The sequence below is a fragment of the Homo sapiens genome, chromosome 7 (genome assembly GCF_000001405.40).
Source record: "Homo sapiens chromosome 7, GRCh38.p14 Primary Assembly".
Lineage (NCBI taxonomy): Eukaryota > Metazoa > Chordata > Mammalia > Primates > Hominidae > Homo > Homo sapiens.
In genome coordinates this window covers 48,083,371-48,111,174 of record NC_000007.14, presented here as the reverse complement: position 1 = coordinate 48,111,174, position 27,804 = coordinate 48,083,371, and the positions used below count along the sequence as shown (strand labels likewise).

General features: G+C 48.1%; 1 protein-coding gene across 13 annotated transcripts, besides 7 other annotated features; it reads right to left on the bottom strand.

Moving 5' to 3' along the window:
- Window positions 2,439-22,471, bottom strand: UPP1 (uridine phosphorylase 1). 13 transcript variants are annotated; one of them, NM_001287426.2, is made up of 10 exons: window positions 22,252-22,471; window positions 21,757-21,963; window positions 20,811-20,925; window positions 16,348-16,412; window positions 11,388-11,505; window positions 9,193-9,351; window positions 7,764-7,878; window positions 4,093-4,302; window positions 3,668-3,814; window positions 2,439-2,957 (listed from the first exon to the last, which is right to left on the bottom strand). In NM_001287426.2, exons 4-10 carry the CDS (start codon window positions 16,389-16,391, stop codon window positions 2,818-2,820), a joined length of 933 nt encoding a protein of 310 aa, NP_001274355.1. In that variant the 5' UTR covers window positions 16,392-16,412; window positions 20,811-20,925; window positions 21,757-21,963; window positions 22,252-22,471; the 3' UTR covers window positions 2,439-2,817. The 13 variants fall into 13 exon arrangements, 12 of the variants coding, with proteins under 12 accessions (NP_001274355.1, NP_001349703.1, XP_011513814.1 ...); NM_001362774.2 differs by having other exon boundaries at window positions 20,811-20,987; window positions 21,757-21,921; XM_011515512.3 differs by lacking the exon at window positions 21,757-21,963.
- Window positions 5,379-5,602: a silencer, noted in NCBI's record as "fragment chr7:48145170-48145393 (GRCh37/hg19 assembly coordinates)". NCBI's record gives its function as "represses an EF-1alpha promoter that drives an FKBP-Casp9 reporter gene in an ReSE screen in K562 erythroleukemia cells {active_cell/tissue: K562}" and the evidence as "EXISTENCE:reporter gene assay evidence [ECO:0000049][PMID:32094911]".
- Window positions 21,316-21,845: an enhancer, noted in NCBI's record as "H3K27ac hESC enhancer chr7:48128927-48129456 (GRCh37/hg19 assembly coordinates)". NCBI's record gives its function as "activates a minimal SCP1, AML or CMV promoter by ChIP-STARR-seq in naive H9 embryonic stem cells {active_cell/tissue: H9 hESC(naive)}" and the evidence as "EXISTENCE:reporter gene assay evidence [ECO:0000049][PMID:30033119]".
- Window positions 21,346-21,535: a silencer, noted in NCBI's record as "silent region_18173". NCBI's record gives its function as "represses an Ori minimal core promoter by ATAC-STARR-seq in GM12878 lymphoblastoid cells {active_cell/tissue: GM12878}" and the evidence as "EXISTENCE:reporter gene assay evidence [ECO:0000049][PMID:35858748]".
- Window positions 21,876-22,215: a silencer, noted in NCBI's record as "silent region_18172". NCBI's record gives its function as "represses an Ori minimal core promoter by ATAC-STARR-seq in GM12878 lymphoblastoid cells {active_cell/tissue: GM12878}" and the evidence as "EXISTENCE:reporter gene assay evidence [ECO:0000049][PMID:35858748]".
- Window positions 22,356-22,565: an enhancer, noted in NCBI's record as "active region_25987". NCBI's record gives its function as "activates an Ori minimal core promoter by ATAC-STARR-seq in GM12878 lymphoblastoid cells {active_cell/tissue: GM12878}" and the evidence as "EXISTENCE:reporter gene assay evidence [ECO:0000049][PMID:35858748]".
- Window positions 22,356-22,907: a biological region, named in NCBI's record as "H3K27ac-H3K4me1 hESC enhancer GRCh37_chr7:48127865-48128394".
- Window positions 22,378-22,907: an enhancer, noted in NCBI's record as "H3K27ac-H3K4me1 hESC enhancer chr7:48127865-48128394 (GRCh37/hg19 assembly coordinates)". NCBI's record gives its function as "activates a minimal SCP1, AML or CMV promoter by ChIP-STARR-seq in primed H9 embryonic stem cells {active_cell/tissue: H9 hESC(primed)}" and the evidence as "EXISTENCE:reporter gene assay evidence [ECO:0000049][PMID:30033119]".

The following is a 27,804-nucleotide window of genomic DNA, read 5'->3' as shown; positions in this document are numbered from 1 at the left end:
CACAGTGGCTCACGTCTCTAATCACAATGCTTTGGGAAGCCTAGGTGGGAGGGGCGCTTGAACCTAGGAGGTCAAGACCAGCCCGGGCAACACACAAGACCCCATCTCTGCAAAAAAATACAAAAATTAGCCAGGTTGTGGTGGCGTGCACCTGTATTCCCAGCCACTCAGAAGGATGAGGTGGGAGGATTGCTTGAGCCCAGGAGGTCAAGGCTGCAGTGAGCTGTGATTGCACCACTGCACTCCAGCCTGGGTGACAGAGCAAGACCTTGTCTCAAGAAAAAGACATCAATCACTCCCCCTTTTTAACTATGTATTCATCTCTTGGAACTGCTTGCTATTGCCACAAGTAGCTATAAATTAACTTAATAATGCCACACTGAATACTAGAACCCACACTCTATGGCTTAACAATGTGTAGCCATTGATCAATATCATTTCTGTAAACCAATGAGAATTCCTGGCAGACAGCTGTGTATCAGCCCATTCCCTGTCCCTTTTACCTTTAAAAATCCACTTGTAAGTGCTGCTAATCAGAGTGTTCATTCAGGGGAACTTGAATCTATGTTCTTGGGTTGCAGTCTTCAAGCTTGGACCCAGTTACTTCTCTACTTTTACCAATTTTGCCTCAGCTTCTTCCTTTTAGGCCGACATAAACTAATCCAACAAGTTCATGTTTACTCAATCAGAACAAGATGTGTTGTTCAACCGGCATTTCCTGCGTGTCAGGGGGTATAGAGTTCACCTGTAAGGTCAGGGATGTCGCCCGATTAGATCAACAGAGATCCACCTGGGGGTGGCTGATGTGCACTACCTCACATAGCCAGCAGAGGGCAGTGCAGTGCCAATAGCTGCAGCTTGGCCATTGACACCTGTAGAAAGAATCTCATGTTCAGAAGTCATTTTACCTTCTGCCTTGTCCCGGAGGAGGGTGCTCAGGCCACAGGCTCTGTGACAGCTCCCCCAGCGAGACAGACTTCCAGGCAGTGCAGAGACAAAACACCTCAAAAACAAACTAGCCCTTTTCTTACTAATAGCAGCCTCCTCTTTAGCCTTAAATTCTATTTCTGTGTGGTTTTTTTTCTCTGCTTTATCAAAGATGTCCTCCTAGGAAGTGGCGGGCCCACCTGGCCACACTTGCCTGGGTTGAGGTGTGAAAGAAATTAACCTGCAAGTCCCCTACTGCCTGGGGCAATGGTCCGCACCTGCATCCTCAGCCTGCCCCAGAGCCTGGTGATAAACATCATCTGGTTGGTCAGAGGATAGAAAGGCTATCCCACACTGGGTCCTGCACCCACAGGGGCATGGTGACATCCAGTTGAAGTCTGGGGGCACTTGGTAATTTGGAGACAGATGAGCGCACAATAGTAGCAAGTCCAGCCCCTGCAGCTCGTGCTGGAGTGAGAAGCCAGGAGCAGAGCCTTTAGCATGCTGCCCTGGGTGCACAGATGACTGCACAGCCACATCCCAGGACCCTGAAGTCTCCTTGAGGGTTCCAATTTCTCCTGGACAGCTTCAACAAAGGGACCAAGAAGTGCTGAGGGAGAAATGGAAGGAGACTCACTCTCCACCCTAAGCAAATCTGTATTACAGACCCTAGAGCTTGAGAAGGTGGAAGGGAAGGAAGTTTTTGATTGGGACAAGGATCTCTCTTGCTCTTAGCACTTAGAAGGGCATGTGGGCTCAGTAGATGCTGAATGACCCTCATTTTGGGTTGAATCTCAGAATCACAGGGAAGGCACATTAAAGAGTGCACAGACCACACACATGCACCCACACCAAGGTCCCCACACACCTCCCTGGCCACTCCAAGTCACACAGCAAACTGCTAAGCAGAGCCCCTGAGCATGGGAGTGTCCCTCAGAGCCCACCAGGAAATAAGCCCATCTCAAGGACAGGAAACAATAAATACCAGAAAGTGGCCACACTGATGTGGGGAGAGTTGAGAAGTCAGCCAGGAGCCTGGGCAACCCACAAGCCAGTGAAGACCCAAGACCCAGCTGCCCCTGAGCTGGGGACCTAGGCCTGCCCAAGTAGCTGCTGCCAGACTCACCCGAGACAGACAGAGGGGCCACCCTGGATTCTCCCCTCCACTATAAGGTGCAACCGAGAAGGAAGCTAAGAGACACGGAGTCTAGGAATGTCAGTGTGAGGCCAGGAATGAATGCAAGGCTGACAAGCCATGGACAGAAACAATAGGACAAGCTGTCTTGAGCCCAGGTGTCCCGTTTCCCATCCCTAGGTACTTGGATCAAGACACTAGCATTGTGGACAATGGGTGGGAGGATTACTGTCGTGTGATTAAGCTGGTGTGGATGGTTTTGGGAATGTGTGTGACTATAATTTGGAAACTGTGTATATGCCTGTTTAGGTACGCATTATTTCTCAAACACCCCTGCTGTCTGCTTCATTGGTTTTCAGTCATCTCTCATTGCAAGTGGTGCATGGAATTTTTTTAATGTATCAGGAAATTAGTTTCCTGGCACTATTGTCAGATTTCTTGTTTAGTGACATGAAATCTGACTACCATTAGAATTTTAAAGTCTGAAAAATTTCCCTAGAAATAGTACAAAAATTTGGTAGAATGTTCTTGAAGAAACCCCAAATCAGGCTAACATCATTGAAAATGCTCCAATGAAACTTCAAAAGGAAGAACATCTCCCATGCGGTTAATCCAAGATTCTCTGTCTCTTAATCGCGATCTGATTTTCTAGATTCTTGTGTAAAGTGTGCTCAAAGTCCACACAACAGGGGATTTTGGACAATGCTTTTAATGGCAAGTCATCACAGCAGGTCTGCGGAGGTGCAGGGCAGCGCTCAGGCCTTGCTCAGTTTCTTCTTGATGAAGTAGCTCACCAGCCGCTGCGGCCTCTGCTGGTACTCGCTGAGCACATTGCGAGGGCTGCTGATCTGGTCCCCTTCCAGGCGGTTCAGGAGGGTGACACACACCACGGCCGCTGCAAAGGACAAAGACCACATCAAGGCAAGGTGCCGGGGGTCTAACATTTCACAGGGACGGGATGAAGAACCCACGAGCTCTGAGGAGCAGCCTCTCTGCCTCCTCAGGAAACCAGGCTGCCCATGCAGTCAGGCGGGGCCGGAGGATGGAGTGCGGGAGGGAAAGGCGCTGGTCCAGGGGCTCGGAAGACTCCTCCCTCTCTGACACCACCCTGCCCTGTCCCTCCCTTATTCTCGTGCCTGCTTCCAAAAGGAATTCACCATTCCAGGACCAGCTCAGGGCTGCAAGCACCACCTTGAAAGGCACGTTTTGGCCGAGGTGATAAGGGAATTCTGCAGAGCTGTGAGCTGGCCTTCAAGGGTGGCTAGTACCTTGAGGGTAGATGAACCACAATTCAGAAAGCCAAAGCGCTTTGAAAGCCGAGTTTTTTATAGACCTGGTGGCAGCCTCATGGGGCAGCAAAAGCTTTTTTGTCATTTTTCCTGCACAAGGTCACTGAGAATCCTGCATTTTGTCAGGGTGTGACAGTCAGACATTGAACAGCATTGTGGTGACAACACATATGTCAGAAAGTGACTTGGGGGCAGCGGAAACAGAAACCAGAAATGGGTATCGGGGTGCCCCAGGAGGAGGGGCCCCAGCGAGGGGCTCCAGGAGAGCAGAAGTGAAGGGAGGAGGGGACGCCGAGGCCCATCAAGTGCCGCTTACCTTGGAGGCCGCAGGCGCTGCACATGGCGGCAAACACCGAGGACTCCATCTCGATATTGCGGACGCCGGCTGCATAGGCTGCCTCCAGATACGCCTGCTTGTCCTTCTCCGTGTAGGAGCAGAGAGCCCCATCCAGACGGCCTTGCCCTGAGGCACACATGGAGACATGAGAACCACATGCATGTGAGAAGCTCCTACAACACATCAGCGCCACTGATGCCCAGAAGGACACAGGGACAAGCAAGACCCATCCAGGTCCTGCCTATAATGACCACTCAAACGGGTCATTATAACCACTCTGGGCGAAGTGTAACTGAGACAGCAGCCTGGCAAGTGGAAACGCCAGTCCACAGCGAGAAGGCAGGCTCAGGGGACGGACCAGGGTTCCCTGGCTGAAAGATGCCTCCTCGTATCCGCTGCCTCACCTTCATAGAAGTCCAAGGTGCACATGGTGTTCCCCACCACTGTGGTGAACTCGCTCAGCTCTGCAGAACACAGCAACAGCTCCTGCACCAGCTTCTTGTTAAGGTCCGTTTTCCGGATGACCCGCTTCCCCAGGACAATCTGCTCAAACTCTGCCTTGAAGCAGGTATCCACTGCCTGCTCTGTTATGACCACAGTGCCGGGCTCCAGACCTGAGGAAAAAAGCAGACATCAAGATATGCAGGGTGTAAAACAAAATAAAATTAAAGCAGGGCAGCCAGGGAGCACACAGCAGAGCATATGGAAGAAAGAAGCAGATCCACCCACACATCCAAACACGAAGCATCCAGTACTGTTCTCAAATACACAGTGACCCATTTTTCCCATTCAACTTTTTTTTAAGCTATGAAAGTAATTAATGCATGATCATTATGGACACTATGGAAGAGAAAGGCACAAAAAACAAAGTAGAGGGCTGGGTGCAGTGGCCCACGCCTGTAATCCCAAGCACTTTGGGAGGCCAAGACGAGCAGATCACCTGAGGTCAGGAGTTCAAGACCAGCCTGGCCAACATGGTGAGACCCCATCTCTACTAAAAATACAAAAATTAGCCAGGCATTGTGCCGGGTGTCTGTAATCCCAGCTACTTGGGAGACTGAGGCGGGAGAATCACTTGAACCCAGGAGGCAGAGGTTGCAGTGAGCCAAGATCACGCCACTGCACTCCAGCATGGGCAAAAAGAGCAAACTCCATTTCGAAAGAAAAAAAAAAGAATAAAATAAAAATGGCCAGGAACCTTCAAGTACTTTGTCCCATATTTCTTGCTTCCATTCACGGCGATTTCCCACTGTTGTCTGTCACTGAACCATATACCATGATGTGTTTCATTGATCCCTGTTTCATACCTTGTTAATATTTAAGATTTCAGGCAAATACTTGAAAAGTAAACCAGCAAAAGGCAGACTAGAACAGTATAATGAAGTCCCACACCCTAAACCCAGGTGAGCTATGACCAACTCCTGACCTACCTGGCCTTCCTCTCAGATTGATGCATTATTAGGGTCCAGTTTCTATGTTCTGGGCGTGCCTTCCTGGAGTAGTTTCCTGTTTGTAGGGACATTACTCTGCCCCTTATTCTTTGTGTTATAATAATTTTAGATGGGATTTGACCATTGTTATGGACCTGGACTGAATGCTGGTTTCCCCCTCAAAATTCATAGGCTGAAATCCTAACCCTAAATGTGATGGTTTCAGGCAGCAGGGCCTTTGGGAGGTGATTAGGTCATGAGGGTGGAGCCTGCATGAGTGGGATTAGTGCCCTTATAAGAGGGACCCCGGAGAGCTGCCTGCCCCTTCTGCCATGTGAGCACACAGGGAGAAAACAGAGCTCTATGAATCCGAAAGTTAGCCCTCACCAGACACCAAGTTTGCTGACTCCTTGACCTTGGACTTCGCAGCCTCCAGACTACGCGATAAATTCCTATTGTTTATAAGCCACTCAGTCAATGGCATCTTGTCTATCAACCTGCAGGGACTAAGATAACTATGATCCATTTCTGATACTTATTTTAATGCAAAATTGGTTTTCCTAAACATGTGGGAGGGAACAAGAAGTCAGATCTTTTCCAGAGCTCCCAAGTCAGTTGTTTTCATGAAACATTAAAAAACATGGCCGATTGCAAAGACCTTTGCTTCGCTCCCCACATGTATCTGAACTCCTCTTTCCATTGCTACTCCTGCGGCTGTTCTGGGCAATTCAGAGTCTCATTTCAGCAGCTTCTCCCAGCACTGGGGCTGGAGCTAGAGGAGAGCTTGGCTGATGCCTTGGTGAACCCACAGGGCCTGGAGTGGTCAAGCCCCTTGGAATTCCAGCATCACTCACATTGGGACGCACAGGCCCCCTCCAGTGTCAGCTGCCATCTTCACCATGTCCCCCTGCACCTTCCTAGGAGTGCCTGGGACTCTTGTTCTCAGGTCTGTCCATCGCCTTGAGCTTCCCCCTGAGCAGCTGCCAACACAACCAGATCCTGAGGCTTTTTGTCTCCACCCATTCATACTTTGGGGTTTGTGAGGATAGCACATCACCTTTTATTATCAACTGTGTCCAGTGGTTTTTGGTTTTGCTCCCTAGTTGCTCTTTCCATTTTTACAGAGCAATTGAGGAAAATTCAAAATCTATACTACTCCCTCCAGAATTATCTGATCATTGTTTTAAAAATCACTCCAGAGCAAGAACTCAAGAACCATTCACTAGAGTTCCTGGCAGAGGCCAGCATGCTATGCACAGCTGTGTCAGGTGGGCAGCATCGGAGACTAAGCTTGCAGGACCGAGACAGCTCATGGCCGTTGGTGTGTTGTCCTAGGGACAATTTCGCTAAACTTGGAATTACAGTCATACAAACACAGATTTTATGCATCAATCTCTCTATATAACAAAAAGAAAAGAGACAAGATAACATATTCAAAATATTTGGGTCTAAAGCAAGTCCCCTTTCAAGGTCAGGACACTTAAATTCTAGAATTGCTATAAATCCTAGATAGTCCAGGCCCTAGACAGCCTGGAACAAGTACACACAGGCCTGGCCAGCAGCGGCAAAGCTCAACTTTCTCTAGGGCACATGCAGGCTTCTTCCCTGAGCTCTGAACACCTCGGTGGGAGCAGGAATCACTAGAACCCAGTTTTTAGCAGAAAGAATGGCACAGAGTTGGAACCCCAGAGAGCAAGACCACGTATTTAAAACAAATCTGCCTAACAGACTTTGGCTTACAATTCAACAATTTGTTAGCTTTTGCTTTCTCATTAAATCTCATTCTTTCTTTGCCATGTTTGTGGGGGTTTTTGTTTGTTTGTTTGTTGTTGTTGTTGTTGAGATGGAGTCTCGCTCTGTTGCCAGGCTGAAGTGCAGTGGCGCGATGTTGGCTCACTGCAACCTCCGCCTCCCGGGTTCAAGCGATTCTCCTGCCTCAGCCTCACCAGCAGCTGGGACTACAGACGTGCACCACCACGCCCAGCTAATCTTTTGTATTTTAGTAGAGACGGGGTTTCACCATGTTGGCCAGGATGGTCTCGATCTCCCGATCTTGTGATCCGCCCGCCTCGGCCTCCCAATGTGCTGGGATTACAGGTGTGAGCCACCGCGCCCGGCCAACCATCTTTGTTTTTTAAACAAAAAAAAAATGTCCCTGTTGAGGATAGGGACATTTTAAGCTAATTTAAGGACACTTATCTGAGTTTTGTACTGCGCCTCTCTCTTCCCCCCTTTGATTTTCCTGTGTCTTTTCTCCTAAGGTGCTTCAAAATCCCTGCAGGATTAGGGAGGAGGAAAAGTAAGCAAAGGAAAGGAGAGAATGGAGAAGAAGGGGGATTAGAAAGAATAAGACAGAATCAAGCAGACAAGAAGGCACAAATTGTGTAACCCCAAAAGGATGAGTTTCCCCCATATGCATGGTGTGGTGCCCTTCTACTGCCTAGCTCTGGGGTGCGGGTTGGGAGAACAGGTTGGACAAAAACAACAAAACAAGCTTCTTTTCACACCTCCTGTTAACAAGCTTCCCTTGAACAAAGCCAAGAAAGGAACTCTTTGTCTCTAATGCCACACCATGTAGAAGCTGCCTTGGCATGCCCCAGTCCCTCATCCATTCACAGGGCAAGAGGCCCCTCTGCAGACCTTACCTATCCCACCAGAAGTGCCAATGCGGATGATAGTGACGTTGGAGCACCGGGCATAGTACAGCAGCTTTATGAGCTCATGCAACATGATTGAGATAGAAGGAATGCCCATACCATGCTGGAACCAGGGAGAAACACCCATGTTAAGCCAAGGTTGTGACTTTGTCAATGTTCTGGCTGATGTTTCATGTGATGTAATTCAATCTAACATGCCCATTGACATAGTGATGAAAGATAAACTTTTTAAATATAAATTTAAGAACTAGTAACACTTTGGGAAACTTTAAAGTGTATGCAAAGCTGTCAAAGACAAAACCCCATTTGATCGACACAATTTGTCAAATAGGTAACAGCTGCGGACCCAGGGGCTCAGCAGGGAAGCAGCAGTCTGCTATTGCCAGGTAACAAACAGCTCCTTCTAGCATTTGAAGCCCTGCATAAATACCCACCCTATTCTCCCACACCCCACCACAGGTTAAAGTTTTATCTCCTTTCTCTTTTCTCCCTACACCCTCTGCTTCAGACAAACTAAGTAATCAGCTGGTTCCTCAGCCCACTGGACACAGGATGCTTTGCTGATCTTGTCTGCCTGTGCCTTTTCCTCTCTTTGGGGTCTCTGCATACCTCCTTCTCCTGCTCTCCTCTTCAGAGCACCCCCCCTAGTGTCACAACTTCTGTGATGCCTCTCCCCGGATGAACTCAGCACTTTCCAGGGGCTGTTCCTGTGGCAGAGCCATACAGTGGAGGCATCCCTGCTAGAATCGGTCACGGAGCCTTACACACAGGAAAGGCTTGCGCAGATTATCAGTAACCTAGTCATGTCTTGGCTCCCTGATATGTTCTAGTTGGTTGACATAGCTAGTGTCCTCAGCTGACTGGAGAGGTAGGGGTGCACATCTCAACAAAAGGGGTTCCCTTTCCTTACTCTGCAGCTGTTCATTTATATTGCTCCTGACAAAATCAAAACTGAAAAATGAAAAGACTTCTATGGTAGAATCTGGAGATTTCTGTGTTCACCATGCTCCTTGCTAAATCAAAATGTGTTTTGAAGTAACTCACTGTGAGGTGGTAGAGGGGATTAGAGGCCTGGTACTTTGAGGCTCTCCTTCCATCCTGCTCCAGGCAGGGCGCCCCCTACTGTCCTTCCTCTACACCCCAAGCACTCTAACTCCCTGCACCTGCCACCCTCACACTGTGTAGACAGACAGCGGTGTATATGCATTTGTGTACTTAGTCGCCCCTGGAGACTGAGCCTCAAGGACGATAGCCTGAGTTCAATAATCTCTGAATCCCAGCTACTGTGGGCTCACCCTGCTCCCAGCCATTTACAGTAAGCAGGTGTTAGGGGACCAGCTGTCTGTGTGTGCAGAGGGGTGGGGCACAGGGGGTTGCAGAGCCTAGAGACTGAGCACAAGGGAAGGCAGGTACTCACACTGACAGACAGCACCGGTCCTACTTTATACATGGCATAGCGGTCAGTTCCCGCACAGATGTTGGGATAGTCTCTACCTGGGCAGTCAAGGCCCAGCTCTGCACCAACGCACCTGATGAAGGCTTTCATCCGGGAGGGGCTTCCACCAACACACACAAACTGCAGCCAGAGAAGAGAGACCCCCATTAGTGCACTGTCTATAGCAGAGGTCCTCAAGTGGGGCCCCTAGACCAGCAACATCAGTATTACCAATGAACTTGCTAAAAATATAAGTTCACTGGCCTCACCAGGACCTGCTGAATCTAAGGGGCCCAGGAATCTGCTTTAACAAGGCCCCCTGGTGAGTGGTCAGGGTGGGCGGCCAAGCATCAAAAGGCAGTCAGCTCCACAAACGCAGGAATCCAGACCCTTGCTCTCTCTGAGGAGGTAATTCCAGGTCCTGTGCACCCTCGGCCTCCCTCCGTCATGTAGAAGGCGGCCTGTGGAGACAGCCTGGGTTTGAAACAGAGGGAGCAACTCCTCACTGTCCCTCTGTGTTACCAGGGCCCCACAAAATGGGCTACTGACCGCTCTCTCGCCTGGTTACTTGAGTGCCAAATAGCCAATGCTTGAGAAGAGCCAGCCGAAGCCTAGAGGAGGCTCAGGAAGTGATAGCTATTCTGGATGGGTCTCTCTCAGAGAAGTAAAAACTTTAATTTGCAGAACATCATGTAAGAAAATGTTGGTTTTGAAAAAAAAAATTTTTTTAAGTGAGTAAGTTTTTAAAGAGTTTGAAGATGGCTGGGCACAGTGGCTCACACCTGTAATCCCAGCACTTTGGGAGTGGGCAGGCAGATCACCTGAGGTCAGGCGTTCCAGACCAGCCTGTCCAACATGGTAAAACCCCATCTCTACTAAAAAATACAAAAATTAGCTGGGCATGGTGGCAGGTGCCTACAATCCCAGCTACTCAGGAGGCTGAGGCAAGAGAATCGCTTGAACCCAGGACAGGGAGGTTGCAGTGAGCTGAGATCACACCACTGTAATCCAGCCTGGGCAGTGAGACTCCAGGTCAAAAAATTTAAAAAAAAAAGTCTGAAGATAAAAGAAAAGAATTATTAATTATTCTCTAAACATAAAAAAGAAAATTCCATAGCCTGGAATAAAAATCACTACGGATTAACTTAATAGGATGAATGAAATTTTAATGAATTAAAAGCACATGGGAAGTTGTCCACCATTTGAAACCAACACTATCAAAGAACAGGATGATTGATAAGACATAACACTATTGTTTAATTATGATCCCATGTAGCAGCACTGGATTCTAGCGTCCTGGTATATTTTGATTTTTAATTCTACATGTCAGTTCATCTTTACCCATTAGACATTTCAAAGTCCTACGTTAAGATAAATCAGAACTAAGGGACTTAAGACTTTGTAGAAAAAGTTAACTGGAAGCTGCATGAAGCAAAATAAGACATTAAAGGCAATTAACTAAACAGAATATCAATATGTATCTTATATTACAAACAAAATACAATGACCTTTATTTACTATCCTTTGCTTCCCTAGGAAATTTTTACATCTTTCTCTTCTCTCAATGAAGCATTAGGAAGTTTATTTTATATATAGTTTCAAATGCATAGTCATGCCCCATGTAACGATGTTTTGGTAAGCAAGGAATCACATATACACAACAGCGGTCCCAGAAAATTATATAATACCATGATTTTACTGTAGCTTTTCTATGTTTAGATATGTATAGATACACAAATGCTTACCACTGTGTTACAACTGCCTACAGTATTCAGGACACTCACATGCTATAGAGGTTTGTAGCCTAGAGGCATATGGCCCAGGCAAGTAGTAGGCTCTACCACCTAGGTTTGTGTGGTTACGCTCTATGTTGTCCACACAATGATGAAATACCTAAGGCTGCATTTCTCGGACCGTATTTCCAGAGTTAAACAATGCATGACTGCACTAAATTTGCAAAAGATGAATTAGGGAACAATTTGGCACTACTTAGGATAGTTTTACTTGCTAGTTCACATACTTGAAAGTTAAAAACTTGCAAAAATTTGGTAAACATTATGTCTTCATAAACCTGTCAGCTGTGGTCTCTCAAGCATTTGTGGGTTGGTCTACCTGTATAATATAGGGGGAGGTTGATCTTAAGGCAAATTCCAAGGTGTCAACACCTGGCCTCTTACCTTCACATCTCCAAACAAGGCTGGGAAATTGTGTCTGCTAGTGGTGAGATTGAAATGATAGAGAATATCTTCTTTCATTTTTGCTATGTTTGGATTTAAAAGTCTGACGGGGCAATCACTGTTAAAAAACAAGAAAGTGGAAGGCTTATAGAACATCAGTGCCCGACAGCCGACATTATCACAGAAGTGGCCTATGTCAGACACGAGGCTCATGGTGGGAGAAAGACAGGGCCAGATCCCGGAGATAAGACAACCCCAACATTGCCAAGGTCCGCACTTGCCTCCCCTCTGTTCTTCCCCCTTCTCCTCCCTCTTAACCCCTGTTGCTCCCATGGCTCTGTTTGGAGGGCAACAGGGATGAAATCAGAAGAGCACACGAAAGTACACAGATGGAAATGTTTGATCTACCCATACAAGGAGTAGGGAGTATAGCCAGTTGCTCCTCTAATCAAGTTCATTCGATGTATAAACTTGAATTTATTTTAAAACTACTATGTTTACCATAGGAAATATGAACAGAAATAGAAGGAAAAACAACCTCTAATCCTACCTCCCAGAGATAACCTTTCCAATCTGCATACCTTCAATTTGTTTTTGTTTTTGTTACACTAGCTACCACTTCTCCAGCACGATATCCAATAGGAGTGACAAGATAAGACATCTGTTTATCTGCTAGAAAATGTGCTCGTGGCACATGCTGGTCTAGAGCAAGCATCAGCAAACTTTTCTTCATAAAAGGCCAGATAATAAATACATGTGGTTTTGCAGGCTGCATGATTTCTGCTACTTCTCAAGTCCACCGTAGACATGTGAAAGCAACTACAGATAGCACACAAATGAGTGAGTGTGTCTGTGTTCCAATAAAACCTTCCTTACAAAACAAATGCCCCAGGTCTAGATGAGTCCCTCAAGCCTGTCGAAGTCCCTTAGAGCCAGCCTCAAACGTAGCTCCTTCAACAATGTATGCCTTCTGAGTCCTAGAGATGGGTGGGCTCCCTTACAGGAAACAGAGGCAGACATGGGATGCTGATGTCAGAGCAATTGGGGACTTCTTTTTCTTCCTTCTGAGTCTGACTTTCTGCCCTGAACCCCGTGGTCATGTCTCCTCCTCATTCTAACTCATGAGAAAAGAAAAAGACACAAGAGAGGCAAGGTCTCAGCTGCCACGGATTTGGAAATAACTGTTAAATAAGGGATGCACCCCCCTCACAGACATTGTCCATTCTCTCCCCACACGATGCTTGTTACACCTTATCTATATTTTAACACTGGTATACATAATTAATGTAATAACTTTACCTCCAGAACAAAAATTTCTGGAGGCCATGACCACGTCTTATATATCTCTGAATCCCACGTAACACACCACAGACAAGAAAAACAAGGTTGAGATGGTCCCATCCTATTTTATCTATCATTTTATCAAATCCCTATTTCTATCTGGCACTCATCAACAGCAGACACCCAGGCTCCAAACACACAGATGGCCTATACCTGACTGCTTCCTCCTTTCATGACTGTCAAATGTTCCTTCCCATCAATTCCCCTAGAGTGGGGCCCAGGTGAGCTCACACCTGAACATTTCAGAAAGGCTGATATAGAAAACATAAGTACAAAGGGTTATACACAGAGACAGGGAGATCTTTGTATAAGGGGACAGGGGGCTAGGTGACTGTCTCCTGTATGGGCAGGCAGGGACTCTGCTGACTGCACTAGTGAATCTGCTGAAAACCCTGCTCAGGAAGGCACAGCAGCCTGCCTGAAGCACAGAGCCACACCCGCCTGCCCCTAAGCCCACCTCTTCCTGACAAGCTATTGGGGGGATCTCCAGAATCAGGGTTCATTCTACTCTGGGATGTGGGGCAAGGCCATTTTTCAAGCGACCAAATCCAGAATCACGTGTGGTAAGGACCATCCTTGAACTTTTCTCAGAAAACCTTTTTGATCTCTAGGCCAATCTGAAATTCTGACGATCTGCACACCCCACAGTATTTTAGGATCCTTTAGTGACAACTATTTTTCATGTAAGTAACATTTCCATTCTCCTCCTTCAGGATGTTAGAAATACACAGAGTACAACATAGAAGGGCTAAGAGTCATGCTTCAAAATAACAAAACAGGATGTGATTAAGACAACTTTGTCACATATTTCAAAATAAAATACTTGTCTTTTCTCCTTGATTCTGAGAAATGAAGAAGAAGGAAGTAGGGTGTAACCGTGAAGACAGGCAATTATTTTAAAACATGAAAATTTGGCCGGGTACAGTGGCTCACTCCTGTAATCCCAGTACTTTAGGAGGCCAACGCAGGTGGATCACTTGAGCCCAGGAATTCGAGACTAGCCAGGGCAACATGGTGAAACCCTGACTCTACAGAAAATGTAAAAATTAGCCAGGCATGGTGGCATGCACCTATAGTCCCACCTCCCTGGGAGGCTGATGTGGGAGGATCACCTGAGCCCAGGAGGTTGAGGCTGCAGTGAGCCCTGATCACACCACTGCACTCCAGCCTAGGTAACAGAGTAAGACTGTCTAAAAATAAAAAATAAAGTAAAATTTAAAAAGTAAATTTAACATGTACCATAATGAACCAGTAGATGCCCCAATTTATTTTTTGAAGGATTTTAAAATAACAAGTCAGAGACATACTACCTGGAAAAAAATATTTCTCTAGTCTACACATAATTTCAAGTGACTTTATTCTGCTTTATTCTACCACTTTATTCATCTAGCAAATATTCATTGAGCATCTACCATGTAAAAGAAATATATGAAATGAAATGAAAACTGTCTGGGCGCGGTGGCTCATGCCTGTAATCCCAGCAATTTGGGAGGCTGAGGCGGGCAGATCACTTGAGCCCAGGAGTTTGAGATCAGCTTGGACAACACAGTGAAACCCTGTCTCTGTGAAAAATACAAAAATTAGCTGGGTGTGGTGGTGCATGCCTGTAGTCCCAGCTACTCAGGAGGCTGAAGTGAGAGGATCACTTGAGCCCAGGAGGCAGAGGTTGCAGTGAGCTGAGATCACACCTCGGCACTCCAGCCTAGGTAAAAGGGCGAAACCCTGTCTCAATAAAAGACAAAAAGGAAAAAAAAGAAAGCAATGAAAACTGGCTTCTGATTCCAGGAGTTTATCAGCAGGGAAGAGAAAGCAGTATCAACCTTTATATAAACTTGCCCAAATAGCTTAGGACCAGCACATGTGGAGACAAGAAGAAAATGAGATGGGTGAGACACAGGGGCCTGAGGTACTGGGGAAGGGGAAGTGGGAGGGCTCCAGAAAATGCTGGCTGCATCTCGCAACAGCCAAGCATCCTGTGCTGGGTGTACTGAACATAAAGATGAGTAAGATCCAGTTCCACTCATGGAAGGCTTTCGACTTGGGGTAGAAATGAAGTTATTAATAGCTAGCACATATCAATTCATTTAATACTCTCAGTATAAACTAAGTACCATCAGTAACCCCATTCAAAGTCCAAGGTCACATCCTTCCTAAGAGGCTGTACTCCTGAGCTCTACACCTGACTGCCTTTCAGCAAGTGGAACATGATTAGCAGATAGCTGAGGATAAAACAAGGGAGGGTAAAATAATTACTGAAGAGAGGGAAGGGGAGGAAACCCTCACTGAGTTGCTTGGCACTTGGTGTGCCGGCCCTGTTTTCTCCAGCCTTCATTTCTACCACTCCCCTCCACCCCCACCAGCCTCCTACTAGGCCTCAACCTCAAGCCATGGCAGGAGGAGGAAGGAGGGGAGCTCCAGAAACTGGGGACAAGGCATTTTTGGCTGTCAATGACTGAAAATACCAGGAATACTATTAGTTCAATTAAAAAATAATCACTGAGGCAGGCCACAGTGGCTCACGCCCGTAATCCCAGCACTTTGGGAGACTGAGGCGGGTGGATCACTTGAGGTCAGGAGTTTGAGACCAGCCTGGCCAACATGGTGAAACCCCATCTCTACTAAAAATACAAAATTAGCCAAGTGTGCTGGCTTGCACCTGTAATCCCAGCTACCTGGGAGGCCGAGGCACCAGAATTGCTTGAAACTGGGAAGCAGAGGTTGCAGCAAGCTGAGATTGCGCCACTCACTGCACTCCAGCCTGGGCGACAAGAGCAAAACTCCATCTCAAAAAAAAAAAATCACTGCAGGGAATGTCCACAGGCACCAGAAACTCCAAAATGGACACCAGGACTTCTGGGGAATGGAGGAGGAGAAGAGCATTGTCCATATGGAATTATGACCTGGGTATGCAGCTGTCACATGTGAGACTTCAGAGAGGTCTCAGGGAAGTTACAGAGGAACAAAGGACCAGGAGTCCAGAGCAAGGGGGGCCAGAGGTCACCACAACCCTGGGTGGTGCCAAGGTCAGAGGCCACCAAGACTGGGGAGAGGCCATGGCGGCAGGACAGAAGGCCTGCCCAGGTAACCCCAGCAGAGGTGGGAGACAACTGGGGGGGTGAGAAAATAAGAATAATCAGCGGATTAAAGTTCACATAGGAATCAGAATGAAGACAAGAAATTCTTGCTTTTCTAGCAATGCCTAAACACAAGTGGTGTCATGCCAAGCATACCAGAAGTATGACAAACTGCAAAGAAATAAGAAGGCATTTAAAATTCAGAACCAAGGCAGAGCTGAGTGATAAGCAGGGGATTTTGTTTAAGAAATTGGCACATAGAGGAAAAACCTACTAGACAGAGATTTGAGCAGGGACTTGTCTGGTTTTCTGAAACAACATGTCCTAAGAATCAAGAGCTGAGGCCCCAGCACCCGACCCCGGAGGTCTTTAACCATCTAATGTACGAACCTCCTGAGTCATTAATCCCTCCAGGCCTCAGTCTCTTTCACAAGCATCAAATGTGTTAATATATGTCAAGTCCTTAGAAAAATGTGTGGCACAACATATGCTCTATAAACAACCCAACCCCACCCAACCCAACCTGGAATGAAATGGAGCCTTACTTGTGACTTTCAGCTTTCTCTGCATTGGCTCCCGTGGCCGCCATTCCGCCAACTGAGGCAGGACCCTAAGGAAAAAAAATCACAGAATGGAGTGAATCCACTCAGTAGAAACCAAGATCGTGCAGAGCCCCACTAATATGTAGAAAGTCAGTGCAATGAAGTGGAATTCCTTACACACCTGATGTAAGTGTGTGAATTGTGTGAGAAATAGAAACAGAGAGAGAGGAGAGTGTGTATGTGTGTTTATAGCATTGCTAGTTTCAGAGAGGAGGTGCTGAAAATGTGCCAAAAGCCTAAGTGGACAGGCACCTCACACCTCCAGAGAACCTGTCCCCTTTATGCCTGTAAACCCAGCACTTTGGGAGGCCAAGGTGGGTGGAGATCATGAGTTCAAGACAAGCCTGTCCAATACAGTGAAACACCATCTCTACTAAAAATACAAAAATTAGCCAGGTGTGGTGGCAGGCGCCTGTAATCCCAGCTACTCTCAGGAGGCTGAGGGAGGACAATCGCTTGAACCTGGGAGGCAGAGGTTGCAGAGCGACACTCCGTCTCAAAAAACAAAACAAAACAAAACAAAAACCTGTCCCTTATTCCCAATTTCCCAGCTCAGCAAGTCAAGACTCACTGACCCAACACACCACACCTCTCTGCCTCCCTTTTTTTAATAGAGACAGTCTCGCTCTGTCACCCAGGCTGGAGTGCAGTGGTGCCATCTCGGCTCACTGCAACCTCCGCCTCCCAGGTTCAGGCAATTCTTCTGCCTCAGCCTCCCGAGTAGCTGAGACTACAGACACACGCCACCATGTTCAGCTAATTTTTGTATTTTTAGTAGAGACAGGGTTTCACCATGTTGGGCAGGCTGTTCTCGAACTGCTGACCCCAGGTGATCCACCAGCCTCGGCCTCCCAAAGTGCTGGGATTACAGGTGTGAGCCACTGCGCCTGGCCTCTGCCTCACTTTTCTAGAATCTCAGATGCTCTTCTCCCCAGGAAGAATTGGGTCAAAGATGGGTAAAAGTTATCAGCTCCAGGGGGAGCAGCGGGGACAGGGGACCACCATAGGAGGGAGAGGGACTGAGGCTGACCTGAGTCAGCCCACGGCCCCGTCTCCACTGCAAAGTCCCATGAAGGAAAAACGTGGCGTACCTGAAGTTATTCTACTAGGGCTCAGTAGTCAGAAACCCCCAAGACCACTTCTCTGTGTGGAGAAGGGCAGGGTTTTGCCAGAGCTCTTTGAAGGAGGGTGAGACTCACGTTTTGAACTCAGTTAATAAAGAAACAAATCCCCAAATGCCCTGTAATGGCCAGGCCCCCAACTCCCTGGAAAGCCTTGCAGAGTGGGCAGGATTCATGCTGAGAGGAAGAGAGTGAAGCACTGGGTCTACAGGATGATCCAAGGCTCATAAAGACATCAGTAGGAGTCTGTGAAGTGAAGCTGCTTTCCTGAGGTCAAGCCAGTTGTTTCCACCACACGGTTCTCACCTTCGTAACTCAGCAGTCTCTTGTCACCAAGCTAAAACCCAAAAGGTCCCTTTTTGGAGAATGGGATTTATTATTACCATAATATAGTGATCATTTCCAGCAAATTTTGAATGCCAGGGAAAACTACAGTTGTTAGGTGTGGAGAAAAATGTTCCCTCCAATTGCTGCCTTAAATCTCTCCACCAGGCTTTCATTCTCCCTTAGCATTTACACAACACTTCTTTGGAAATCCCAGCCTACTGCAGTCCAGCTAAGGAGAGCTAAGAAGGGGAATAAGGTGTGGTGTTGTTGATTTTTTTTTTAATTCAACACTTTATTCTTCATTTTTTTAGAAACAGGGGGCCATGCACAGTGGCCCACGCCCCTAATCTCAGCACTTTGGGAGGCCGAGGAGGCCAGATCACTTGAGGTCAGGAGTTCAAGACCAGCCTGGCCAACATGGTGAAACTCCATCTCTACTAAAAATGCAAAAAAGTAGCTGGGTGTGGTGGCGCATGCCTGGAATCCCAGCTACTCGGGAGGCTGAGGCAGGAGAATCGCTGGAACCCAGGAGATGAAGGTTGTAGTGAGTCGAGATCATGCCACTGCACTCCAGCCTGGGTGAAAGAGCAAGACTCTGTCTCAAAAAAAAAAAAAAAAGAAACAAACAGGGTCTCACTCTGTTACCCAGGCTGGAGTGGAGTGGTGCAATCACAGCTCACTGCCGCCTCAAATTACTGGGCTCACGTGATCCTCCCACCTCAGCCTCCAAGTAGCTGGAATTACAGGCATGAGTCACAACACCAGTGTGAAGGGAATGAGTTTTAAAAGAGGTATCACACCTTGGCCCCCGGTTCACCAGGGGCCAAATGAAGGACAGTGTAGGGATGAAGCTTCATGAATAGGCAGAGCTACCTCTCCCTACACATGTGGAAGGAGGAGAGAGAAGCCAGGGCAGTGCTTCTTATCAAAAGGCACTACAGGAGGATCCCGGGGCGTAGGGGTCTGGTCATGATTTCAGGCCTTCTTCAGGATCCATTAAGCAGACCTACCGACTGAGGGAAGAAGTAGGGTTTAGGGTCAGGCAGAGTCCTGATCCCCAGGGCCAGTTTCTGTGGGGCAGGAACATTCCCCCGTAAGAGTGGCTCCTCTGAAGAATGTGCCCTCTTACAACCTCCCCTAAAACTCTGCCCCCTCCAGGCTGCTATTTTTGTCTTTAGGGGTAGGGAGCTAATGGGAGGGAGCAGCCCCCCAGTGAACCAGGCAGGGGAAGAGCTAAGAGGTGAGCTCCCTTGGGCCAGCAGCTGAGAACATCCCACTGAATCAGAGACTGCTGAGTGGCCCCCGGAAAGCTCTCCAGAGAGAATCCAACCCCGTTTGTAGAAAAGGAAACCAAGCCAAAGACAGAACTTCCCGTCTGGCCTTGTAGAGTAAGGATGTTTCTCTCTAGGTTTGGTTGCTTTTCTTTACTCTGAACCAGAGAAACCAAGGCCACATCAGCAGAGAAATCAGTTCCCTTGTCCAGTCACTGCTTTCCGCTGGCTCCTTCCTAGTGGGCTCCAGGACCAGCCTCACTCTCTCTTTCCCTTTGCAATCTTAGTACCTGCAGGATCCCCCCTCCTGGGTGTGAGTGTCCCAAGAACTAACTTCTCTCCACTTTTCAGCCCTGCACTCAGGGAGGGTCTATTTAACCACACCCACGTAGGCAGAGAAAGTTGCAGATGTCTGCAGTGCTCCAGTGGAAAAGACCCTGGTGTTGAAGATGTCAGACTGCACTGATTTTAGAAAACCTTTCTCCTAACATTGTACCACAATGTTCTCCAACTTCCGTAAGGAAATGAAATTCAGTTTCTCAACAAGTCTTCTCTCACCTCTCTAGAAAGCCATGCTCTTCGCTCCCCTCCCCACATAACAGGAGAGTTTTGCTGGTTTTACCTGGGCTGCAAATTCTACCTCCCAGGGAAATCCTAAACCTGGCTTAGGATTTGGCTCCCCAAGGAAGAGTCTTTTCGGTGATCACCTGGGGCTCTCTACCTATTACCAGCCAGATCCATCTTACTTAAAAAAAAAAAAAAACTGAAGATGTTTTTGATTTTTTTTTTTAGTTTTAACCCGTTAAACTCAAATCAGATTGGTAAGTTACTTGCATAAATAACTTAGCTTGTAAACATTTAAAATACTTTTTTGAATGAACATATTTCAAAAGCAAATGTGTGTGAGAGAGAGAGGAGAAGGAAGAAGAATGTTTGTTGTTTATCTTTAGGGAAGAGGAAAACCTAGAAGTTTCATTTTCTGTTATATATTTGATTTTTGGTTTTTGGGTTTTTTTGTTTGTTTGTTTTTACAATAAGTTTGCGTTAATTTTAAGATCAGTAAAGTCAACAAAATTCCACTTTGACAAAAAGCCCATGTAAAGAAACACTAATTTATCCTTCTTAAATGAAACATGAATGCCCACCAGTGCTGAAAGTATTGGAACCAAGAATATAATTTGTGCTCGATACACCTGTGCTGAATTAAAACGGTCTGCGGTGATGAGGTTTAATGCAGAGGACTAGAAGGTCAGGGTAGCCTCTGAAAAAAGAAATAATGTAAGAGCAGCTGAGAAATGGGGAAAGCTTGGGCCAAAATGCAGATGGGCAAACAAACTGAAAGGCGGGAGAGACAAAGGCCTGCCCTGGGAATGGCTCAGCAGCGCTTGTAGAAATCCAGAGTAAGACATTCTTTCTATTCAAGGAAGTCACAAAGTTTTTTAAAGACCCGCGGTTACAGCCAATGAATGGAACCAATGGTCTTTTTAACCAGAAGACCCCAGGAAGGCAGAAAATGAGCCAAAGAAAGGCCAGGCAGGGGACAGTGGGGAAAGGAAACAGGGATGGAGAAGCAGAGAGGGAAGTGCAGAGACAGGTCACCCAGGCGCCTGGAAACTGCCTCTATGGCCTTCACGGGAAACGGCCTCTTTCTACTCCGGATCCCAGACTGTGTTTCTTTGAAACTGACCGTCAGAGGAGAGCGGCTGGAGGCGGACAGACGTCTGCAGTGGGAGGCGCTCCAGGCGTTCCAGGCAGTGTCCTGCCGGCGAGTCACCCGCGACCGCGAGTCACCTCACCAAGCCCTGAATTGGGACAGGAGACGAGACGTGTCGACGAGCTGCGGAGTTCCTCGCTTCTCTGGGCCCTGCCAGGTCCAAGAACAGGTTGCCATATAAAAGAATCGTGAAGGGACCCCCTTCCCCATGCAAATTATGTCATATAACGCATATGCCTGTGAAGTTTCTCTGCGGAGCTGCCAGATAACTCGATGACAATATTTTATGCGGTAACATTTTGTTAAATGTTGACTCGATGGCCACTTGACGCCATCTGAACTCTGAAAGCTCGCGTAACAATCATCCTCCAAATGAAATTTTACCCCCTTCTCCCTTTAAAAGGCGGTGGGGACAAAACATCACTTCGTCACTTAAGTCACCATCTCCTTCCTCTTATCTGGGGCTCCCAGCATAGTTCTAGGGGTTCCCGCACTCCCCGCCCGGGTTTGGGCTGCGAGAAGCGCCCGCCTGCGCCCTGCGGGACCTGACCCTGCCGGCTCTGGCTTCACCCTCGCTGCGCCTCGGCCCGGTGGGCTCCCCGCCCAGAGCCCCGCGCGCTCCGTCGCCGGGACGTGGGAGAGGTAGGCACGGGGTGGACCCGAGGAAGCACATCCCGCCCGCGCGCTTCCCCCACGCCCACCTCGCTCCGCACACACCAGCCCCAGAACCTCCCGGCCGCGCGCCCGCCTCCCCGCGCAGCCGCGCCGGGCCGCTCTCTGCTCCTCTGCAGCTCACAGCCAAGGTGCACCAGAGCCTCCGTCACCGCCCCTACAGGTAAATGGGCACGTGGCCAAGGCAGGGGACGGGCTAGACCCCTGGGAAGAGAGAACGGCGGGAGCCGGGCCGCGGGCGACTCACCACTCGGCCTGCGCAGAGAGCCGCTACACCCGCGGCGCCATCCTCGCACTGCGACACCGGCGACAAACGCAATGCTCCAGGGCCGGACGAAGGGACGGCTCTCGGGAGGCTCGCAGACGGCGGGGCGCGGGTCTGTGCGCCGGAGCACTCGAATGAGGGAACCACCTGCGAGGTGAATCTCATATGGAGTCTGCGAGCGGCCCCGCCCTGCCCGGGGGTTACCGCTAGGCTCGGGCCCCGCCTGCCCTGGGCCGGCGAACTCAGCTGACCGCATCCTGGGCCATCCCGCAGACAAGCCCCGCCCGCCCCCACCTTCCTCTGCCCCTCTGGCCCCGCCTCCCCCGCCTTCCTCCTCTCCACCCTCCCGCGAAGGTCCCGGGAGGCTCAGCCCGCAATTGCTTCTCGCCTCTGCAGAGCAGCTGGGCAATTGTAAAGAACCAGCAGCCAGTTCTGTTACTCATTAAACAGCCCCTACTACAGAGGAAATCTTCTTACCCACGTGGTCCTAACCTGGGGCGGAGGAAACCGGGCTAGAAGCGGCTCTAGGACTAACCCAAGGTCACGCCGCCAGGCAGGATCCCCGGTCTGTCTGTCTGGCGGTGGCCCCGCGGCTGGGGCCAGCGGAGAGAAATGACAGCGTGGAACCAGCCCTGGCCCGGTGGTCGGGAATGTGGAGCTGGCACTGTCACTGTGTGTACCCTGGATCTCTCTGGACGGCCTCGGCTTCCCCCCTGGGGAGTTTCTCTGGGACCTTCCTGATCCTGGGAGTTCCCGCTTGCTGGGGCAAAGCCAGGAGCTCGCCCGAGGAGGGGAAGTGACTCATTCACTTCGAGTCGCAGCTAAGTGGCCGAACTGCCTCAAACCGGCGCTGCACTCTGACCCCCAGGGGCCGGACCTGCCTGCCCCCGGCCGGTGCCCACTCTCCGTCTCAGGCGTCTTTCCTGGTCCTCTCCCTGCTTCCCGAACGCGCACTCTGGTGAGAGCACAGAGCCTGGGAAAGAAGACGACCTAGAGGCCCGGGCAGCCCAGCACCTCTGTTACTTGCTTCCTAAAGGGAACTCCAGTTCCTGAGAAAACATGGGGTTGGGCCGGGAGTGGTGGCTCACGCCTGTAATCCCAGCACTTTGGAAGGCCGAGGCGGATGGATCACCTGAGGTCAGGAGTTCGAGACCAGCCTGCCCAACATGGTGAAACCCCGTCACTACTAAAAATACAAAAAATTAGCTGGACGTGGTGTCGCGTGCCTGTAATCCCAGGTACTAGGCAGGCCGAGGCAGGAGAATTGCTTGAACCCAGCGAAGGATGCAGTGAGCCGAGATCGCGCCATTGCACTCCATACTGGGTGACAAGAGTGAAACACACAAACAAATCAAGGAAGGAATTAAGGGTTTTATTGAAAATGAAAGTACGGCCAGGCGCAGTGGCTCACACCTGTAATCCCAGCACTTTGGGAGGCCGAGGCGGGTGGATTACAAAGTCAGGAGTTCAAGACCAGCCTAACCAAGATGGTGAAACCCCGTCTCTACTAAAAGTAAAAAAAAAAAAAAAACAAAAAAAAAAACCTAGCCGGTCACAGTGGCAGGTGCCTGTAATTCCAGCTACTTGGGAGGCTGAGGCAGGAGAACCACTTGAACCTGGGTGGCAGAGGTTGCAGTGAGCTGAGATCATGCCACTGCATTCCAGCCTTGGTGACACAGTGAGACGCCATCTCAAAAAAAAAAGGTAAATGAAAGTACACTCCACAGTGTGGGAGCGGGCCTGAGCGTAGGGGCTCAAAGGCCCCATTCCAGAATTTTGGGGAGTTTCAATGTCCTCCGCTTGGGGCACACACTATGTAAATGAAAGGGATGATGCAAAGTTACAAAGTCATTTACTTGGCCTACGCAGAGGCTATTTCCTGTCATAGCTAAAGTGTGAATCGGCCTTATGTTCCCTGCCTCCAGACCCTATTTTGCTGCCTCAGACTGAAGACTGAAACTGGCCTGGTTAGGAAGTTGCTATTCTCTCTCTCTGAAGGTAGATTAACAACTTAGTTTTAGTTTTGTTACCGGAAAAGGGTCCCAATCCAGACCCCAAGAGAATGTTCTTGGATCTTGTGCAAGAAAGAATTCGGGGCCAGGGTGAGTCCACAGAGTAAAGTGAAAGAAGCAAGCTTATTGAGAAAGTAAAGGAATAAAAGAATGGCAATTCCATGGGCAGGGCAGCCTCTAGGGCTGCTGGTTGGCTATTTTTATGGTTATTTCTTGATCATATACTAAATAAGGGTGGATTATTCATGAGTTTTCTAGGAATTCTTCCTTTTAGAACATATAGGGTAACTTCTAAATGTTGCCATGGTATTTATAAACTGTCATGGTGCTGGTAGGAGTGTCGTTTAGCATGAGAATGCATTGTAATTAGCGAATAATGAGCAATGAGGAAGACCAGAGGTAGTTTTCCTCACCTTGCTGGTTTTTGGCAGGTTTTGGCCAGTTTTGGCTGGCTTCTTTACTGCATCCTGTTTCATCAGCAAGGTCTTTGTAACCTGTATCTTGTGATACCACCTGCCAACCTTCTATTTCATCCTGTGACTAAGGATGCCTAACCTCCTGGGAATGCACTCCAGCAGATCTCAGCCTCATTTTACCCAGCTCCTATTCAAGATGAAGAGTCTCTGAGTCGACTCCTGCTGACATATTTCCTGACTCTACAACCCTTAGGATTAAGGGTTCCCTTGTAAAAGGGAAGGGGGAATAACCAAATAACTCACCCCTTTCTTGGAAAACTCAGGAATAATCCACCCCTTGCTTAGCACATATTCAAGAGTAATCATAAAAAATACCCACCAGCAGCCCTTGGGGATGCTCTGCCTATGGAGTAGCCACTCTTTTATTCCCTTCCTTTCTTAATAAACTTCCTTTTACTGTTCTCTGTGGACTCACCCCAAATTCTTTCTTGTAGGAGATCCAAGAACTTTCTCTAGGGCTCAGGATCAGGACGCCTTTCCAGTAAGTTTGGTGACCTGAAACGTTAGCATGGGTGACTTTATTTTTATTTTTAGTCTTGTCTTTTGGGGCCTAGTGCAAGAGCTTAGTCTAAAACAATGGCCTCCTATAATTTGTGTTTAACATTTGTCAGGTTAAAACCTTGTCAGTGTGACAAACTGGAAACAAAATTGTGTCGGGCCACTACTAAACCACACCCAAAATACCTGTGTCATCAATGTTTGCAAGCAGAGAGCAAATGCAGCCCACCAATGGCCACCTAGAGCAGCAGCTGCTAGAGGCAGGAAAGTCTGGAAGAGACCCAGGGCTTGCAGGCTCAGCCAGGATCCCCCTGCTCCTCAACAAGGTCTTTGGGCTCTTTCAGAGATGCAGTTGGCCCTGAGCTCTGAGAGGTGGGGAGGGAAGGGGCTGAGAGGCTGAAGGCCAGGCCACACCAGATAGTGACACACCACTGCCCTTCAGGTTTCCCAAATCTAAGTAACTTCAAACTCTTTGAAATTCTCCCAAAGCTAATGTGTCTACCTAAAAGAAAGATGAGACAAAATTAACATAGAGAGTTTATTTGTGCCCAGGTTGAGGACTGTAGCCCAGGACACACTTCTAAGTTGCCATGGGGAGTGCTCCAAGAACAAAAAGGAGGCTCAAGTTTTTAAAGAAAAAAGAACAACTCAGGAGATGGGGCGATTGCAGAGTTGTCAGGAATCCTCATTGGTTTACAGAAATAACATTGGTTAGTGATTGCCCACACAGTGTTGAACTATAGGGTGGATGGCATCTTATGGCTAATTGGCCTCAGTTATTCTACAGCCACATAGCAAGTGGCTTCAAGAGGTAACCACTTAGCTGAAGGGGAAGTGAGCCATGACTGCTGTTCTGTTCTAAATGTTCTCTGGGCCTGATAATTTAAAGGCTCACCTTCCTCAGGAAAAGAAATGTGTTTGTTGTTTGTTTGTTTGTTTTCTTTCTCAGATAATATTTTAGAGATAGTAGCTGAGGCTTCTTCTCTGTTTGTCCTCACTTCCCAATTCCTCATGCAATTGCTCTTTTCTTTCCAATCCAGCAGCCATACAGATTTCTAGAACACCCCTCAGAGAGGGCAGAAATTGAGCCGCAGTGTTTTCTAAACAGCTGCCTGGTCCATTCGTGGGTCATGAAACCCATGTGGTGGGTCACAGCTAGCATTTTCATTGTCAGTGAGACAGAATGGAGTGAAAAAGCCTCTGCCTGCTTTCCACACCAGAGCACGTACTTTTATCACACGAACTATGACTCAGACACCACAAACCCAGACCAGGCCTCCAGGTCAGAAGTTGACTCCCCTGAGGCCTGTGGTGAGACTACAGCATGACTCAGACCCCTGAGATTTCAAATTCTTGCCAAAATACAAAAAGTGAGATTCTTCCCGCCAACTCTCACTCATCATATAGAGCTACTCAGTCCCCTGACCCACCCCCAGCTCAGATAGGCTCACAGTGGCAGGCCCACTCCCCTGGCAGCTGAGTCCAGTCTGATGAGCCATCACTTTCCCAGGTTGCTGGTCCTAGTAGTCAACAAAGAGAGTCAAACTCTGTAAAATATTTGAAGAGATTTATCCTAAGCCAAATGTGAATGACCATGGCCCGTGACACAGCAAACGGCCCTCAGGAGGTTCTGAGGACACGTGCCCAAGGCGGTCAGGGTGCAGCTTGGTTTTATATGTTTTAGGAATGCATGAGACAGCAATCAAATACATTTAAGAAATACATTGGTTTGGTCCAGAAAGGCAGGACAACTCAAAGCGGGGTAGGGGGCAGGGTTCAAGGCTATAGGTAAATTTAGACATTTTCTGGTTTACAATTGGTTGAGTTTGTCTAAAGACCTGGATTGATAGAAAGGAAATGTCCAGGTTAAGATAAAAGATTGTGGAGACCCAGGGTATTTGAAGTCTTATAGTGGCTGCCCTTAGAGACAATAGATGACAAATGTTTCCTATTCAGATCTTTAATAAAAGGTGCTAGACACTTAGTTAATCTCTTTTTTTTTTTTTTTTTTTTGAGATGGAGTCTCACACTCTCACCCAGGCTGGAGTGCAGTGGCGCGATCTCGGCTCACTGAAAGCTCCGCCTCCCAGGTTCATGCCATTCTCCTGCCTCAGCCTCCCGAGTAGCTGGGACTACAGGCGCCCGCCACCACACCCAGCTAATTTTTGTATTTTCAGTAGGGACAGGGTTTCACCATGTTAGCCAGGATGGTCTCGATCTCCTGACCTTGTGATCCACCTGCCTCGGCCTCCCAAAGTGCTGGGATTGCAGGCGTGAGCCACCGTGCCCGGCCAGTTAATCTCTTTAAAATTGGGAGAGCCTGGAAGAAAAAGCTCTAGCTATGTTAATAGAGATTTTTTACAGATGCAAATTTCCCCCACAAAGGACAGCTTTGCAGGGCCATTTCAAGATATGGCAAAGAAACATGTTTTGGGATAAAATATTTTTATTTTCTTCCCTGTCTCGTAATGTTATGCCAGAGTCAGGTTGGAAAGTAAGTCACGATATATAGGGTTAAATAAAACCCATCTCATGAGAATTCATTGTTTATAGGGCATGACTCCCCAGACCCCTTAGATAAGAATTGGCAAGATAAAAAAAAACGTCAGAGCTTAGTCCTCACAGTCAATGGCTAGCCTCCAAGGAAGTGGAGGATTCCCACAGGATTCCAGCTGCCCAGAGGCTTCACAGGCATATCCATGTTTACAGAAAAGATACAGGCCATGAGATATTTATACAAAACACTTAGGAGTCACAGCCAGCTACCCAACGGATGCCAATGGCTGACTGGTTCTTGCCCTCTCAGTCTTCACCTTTAGGAGAGGTGGTGCTGGCAGGATGTGGTATTTCTCATTCAGGGCCTCTGGAACCATCTAATCTAGGAAACACCCTTGTCTCATGCCTTGCTGCCACACAGCTCCATTTGCTCTCCAGTTTTCCAAGAAGCCTTCTACCTGACTGGTTTTGCTCTAAACCACTATCTCAGACTGAAATTCTTCACAAATTCCACCCAGGAATAATAAGGGTTCATTTCTGAACTGGAC

What these genes read in the sequence shown, in the direction of transcription:
- UPP1 (NM_001287426.2), bottom strand. Translation starts at nt 16,391, where the DNA reads ATGGCGGCCACGGGAGCCAATGCAGAGAAAGCTGAAAGTCACAA. An exon ending in CCTTGTTTGGAGATGTGAAG is followed by an intron (nt 9,352 to 11,387) that starts GTAAGAGGCCAG and finishes CTCTGGCTGCAG; the next exon opens with TTTGTGTGTGTTGGTGGAAG. An exon ending in GACCGGTGCTGTCTGTCAGT is followed by an intron (nt 7,879 to 9,192) that starts GTGAGTACCTGC and finishes CCCTGGTTCCAG; the next exon opens with CATGGTATGGGCATTCCTTC.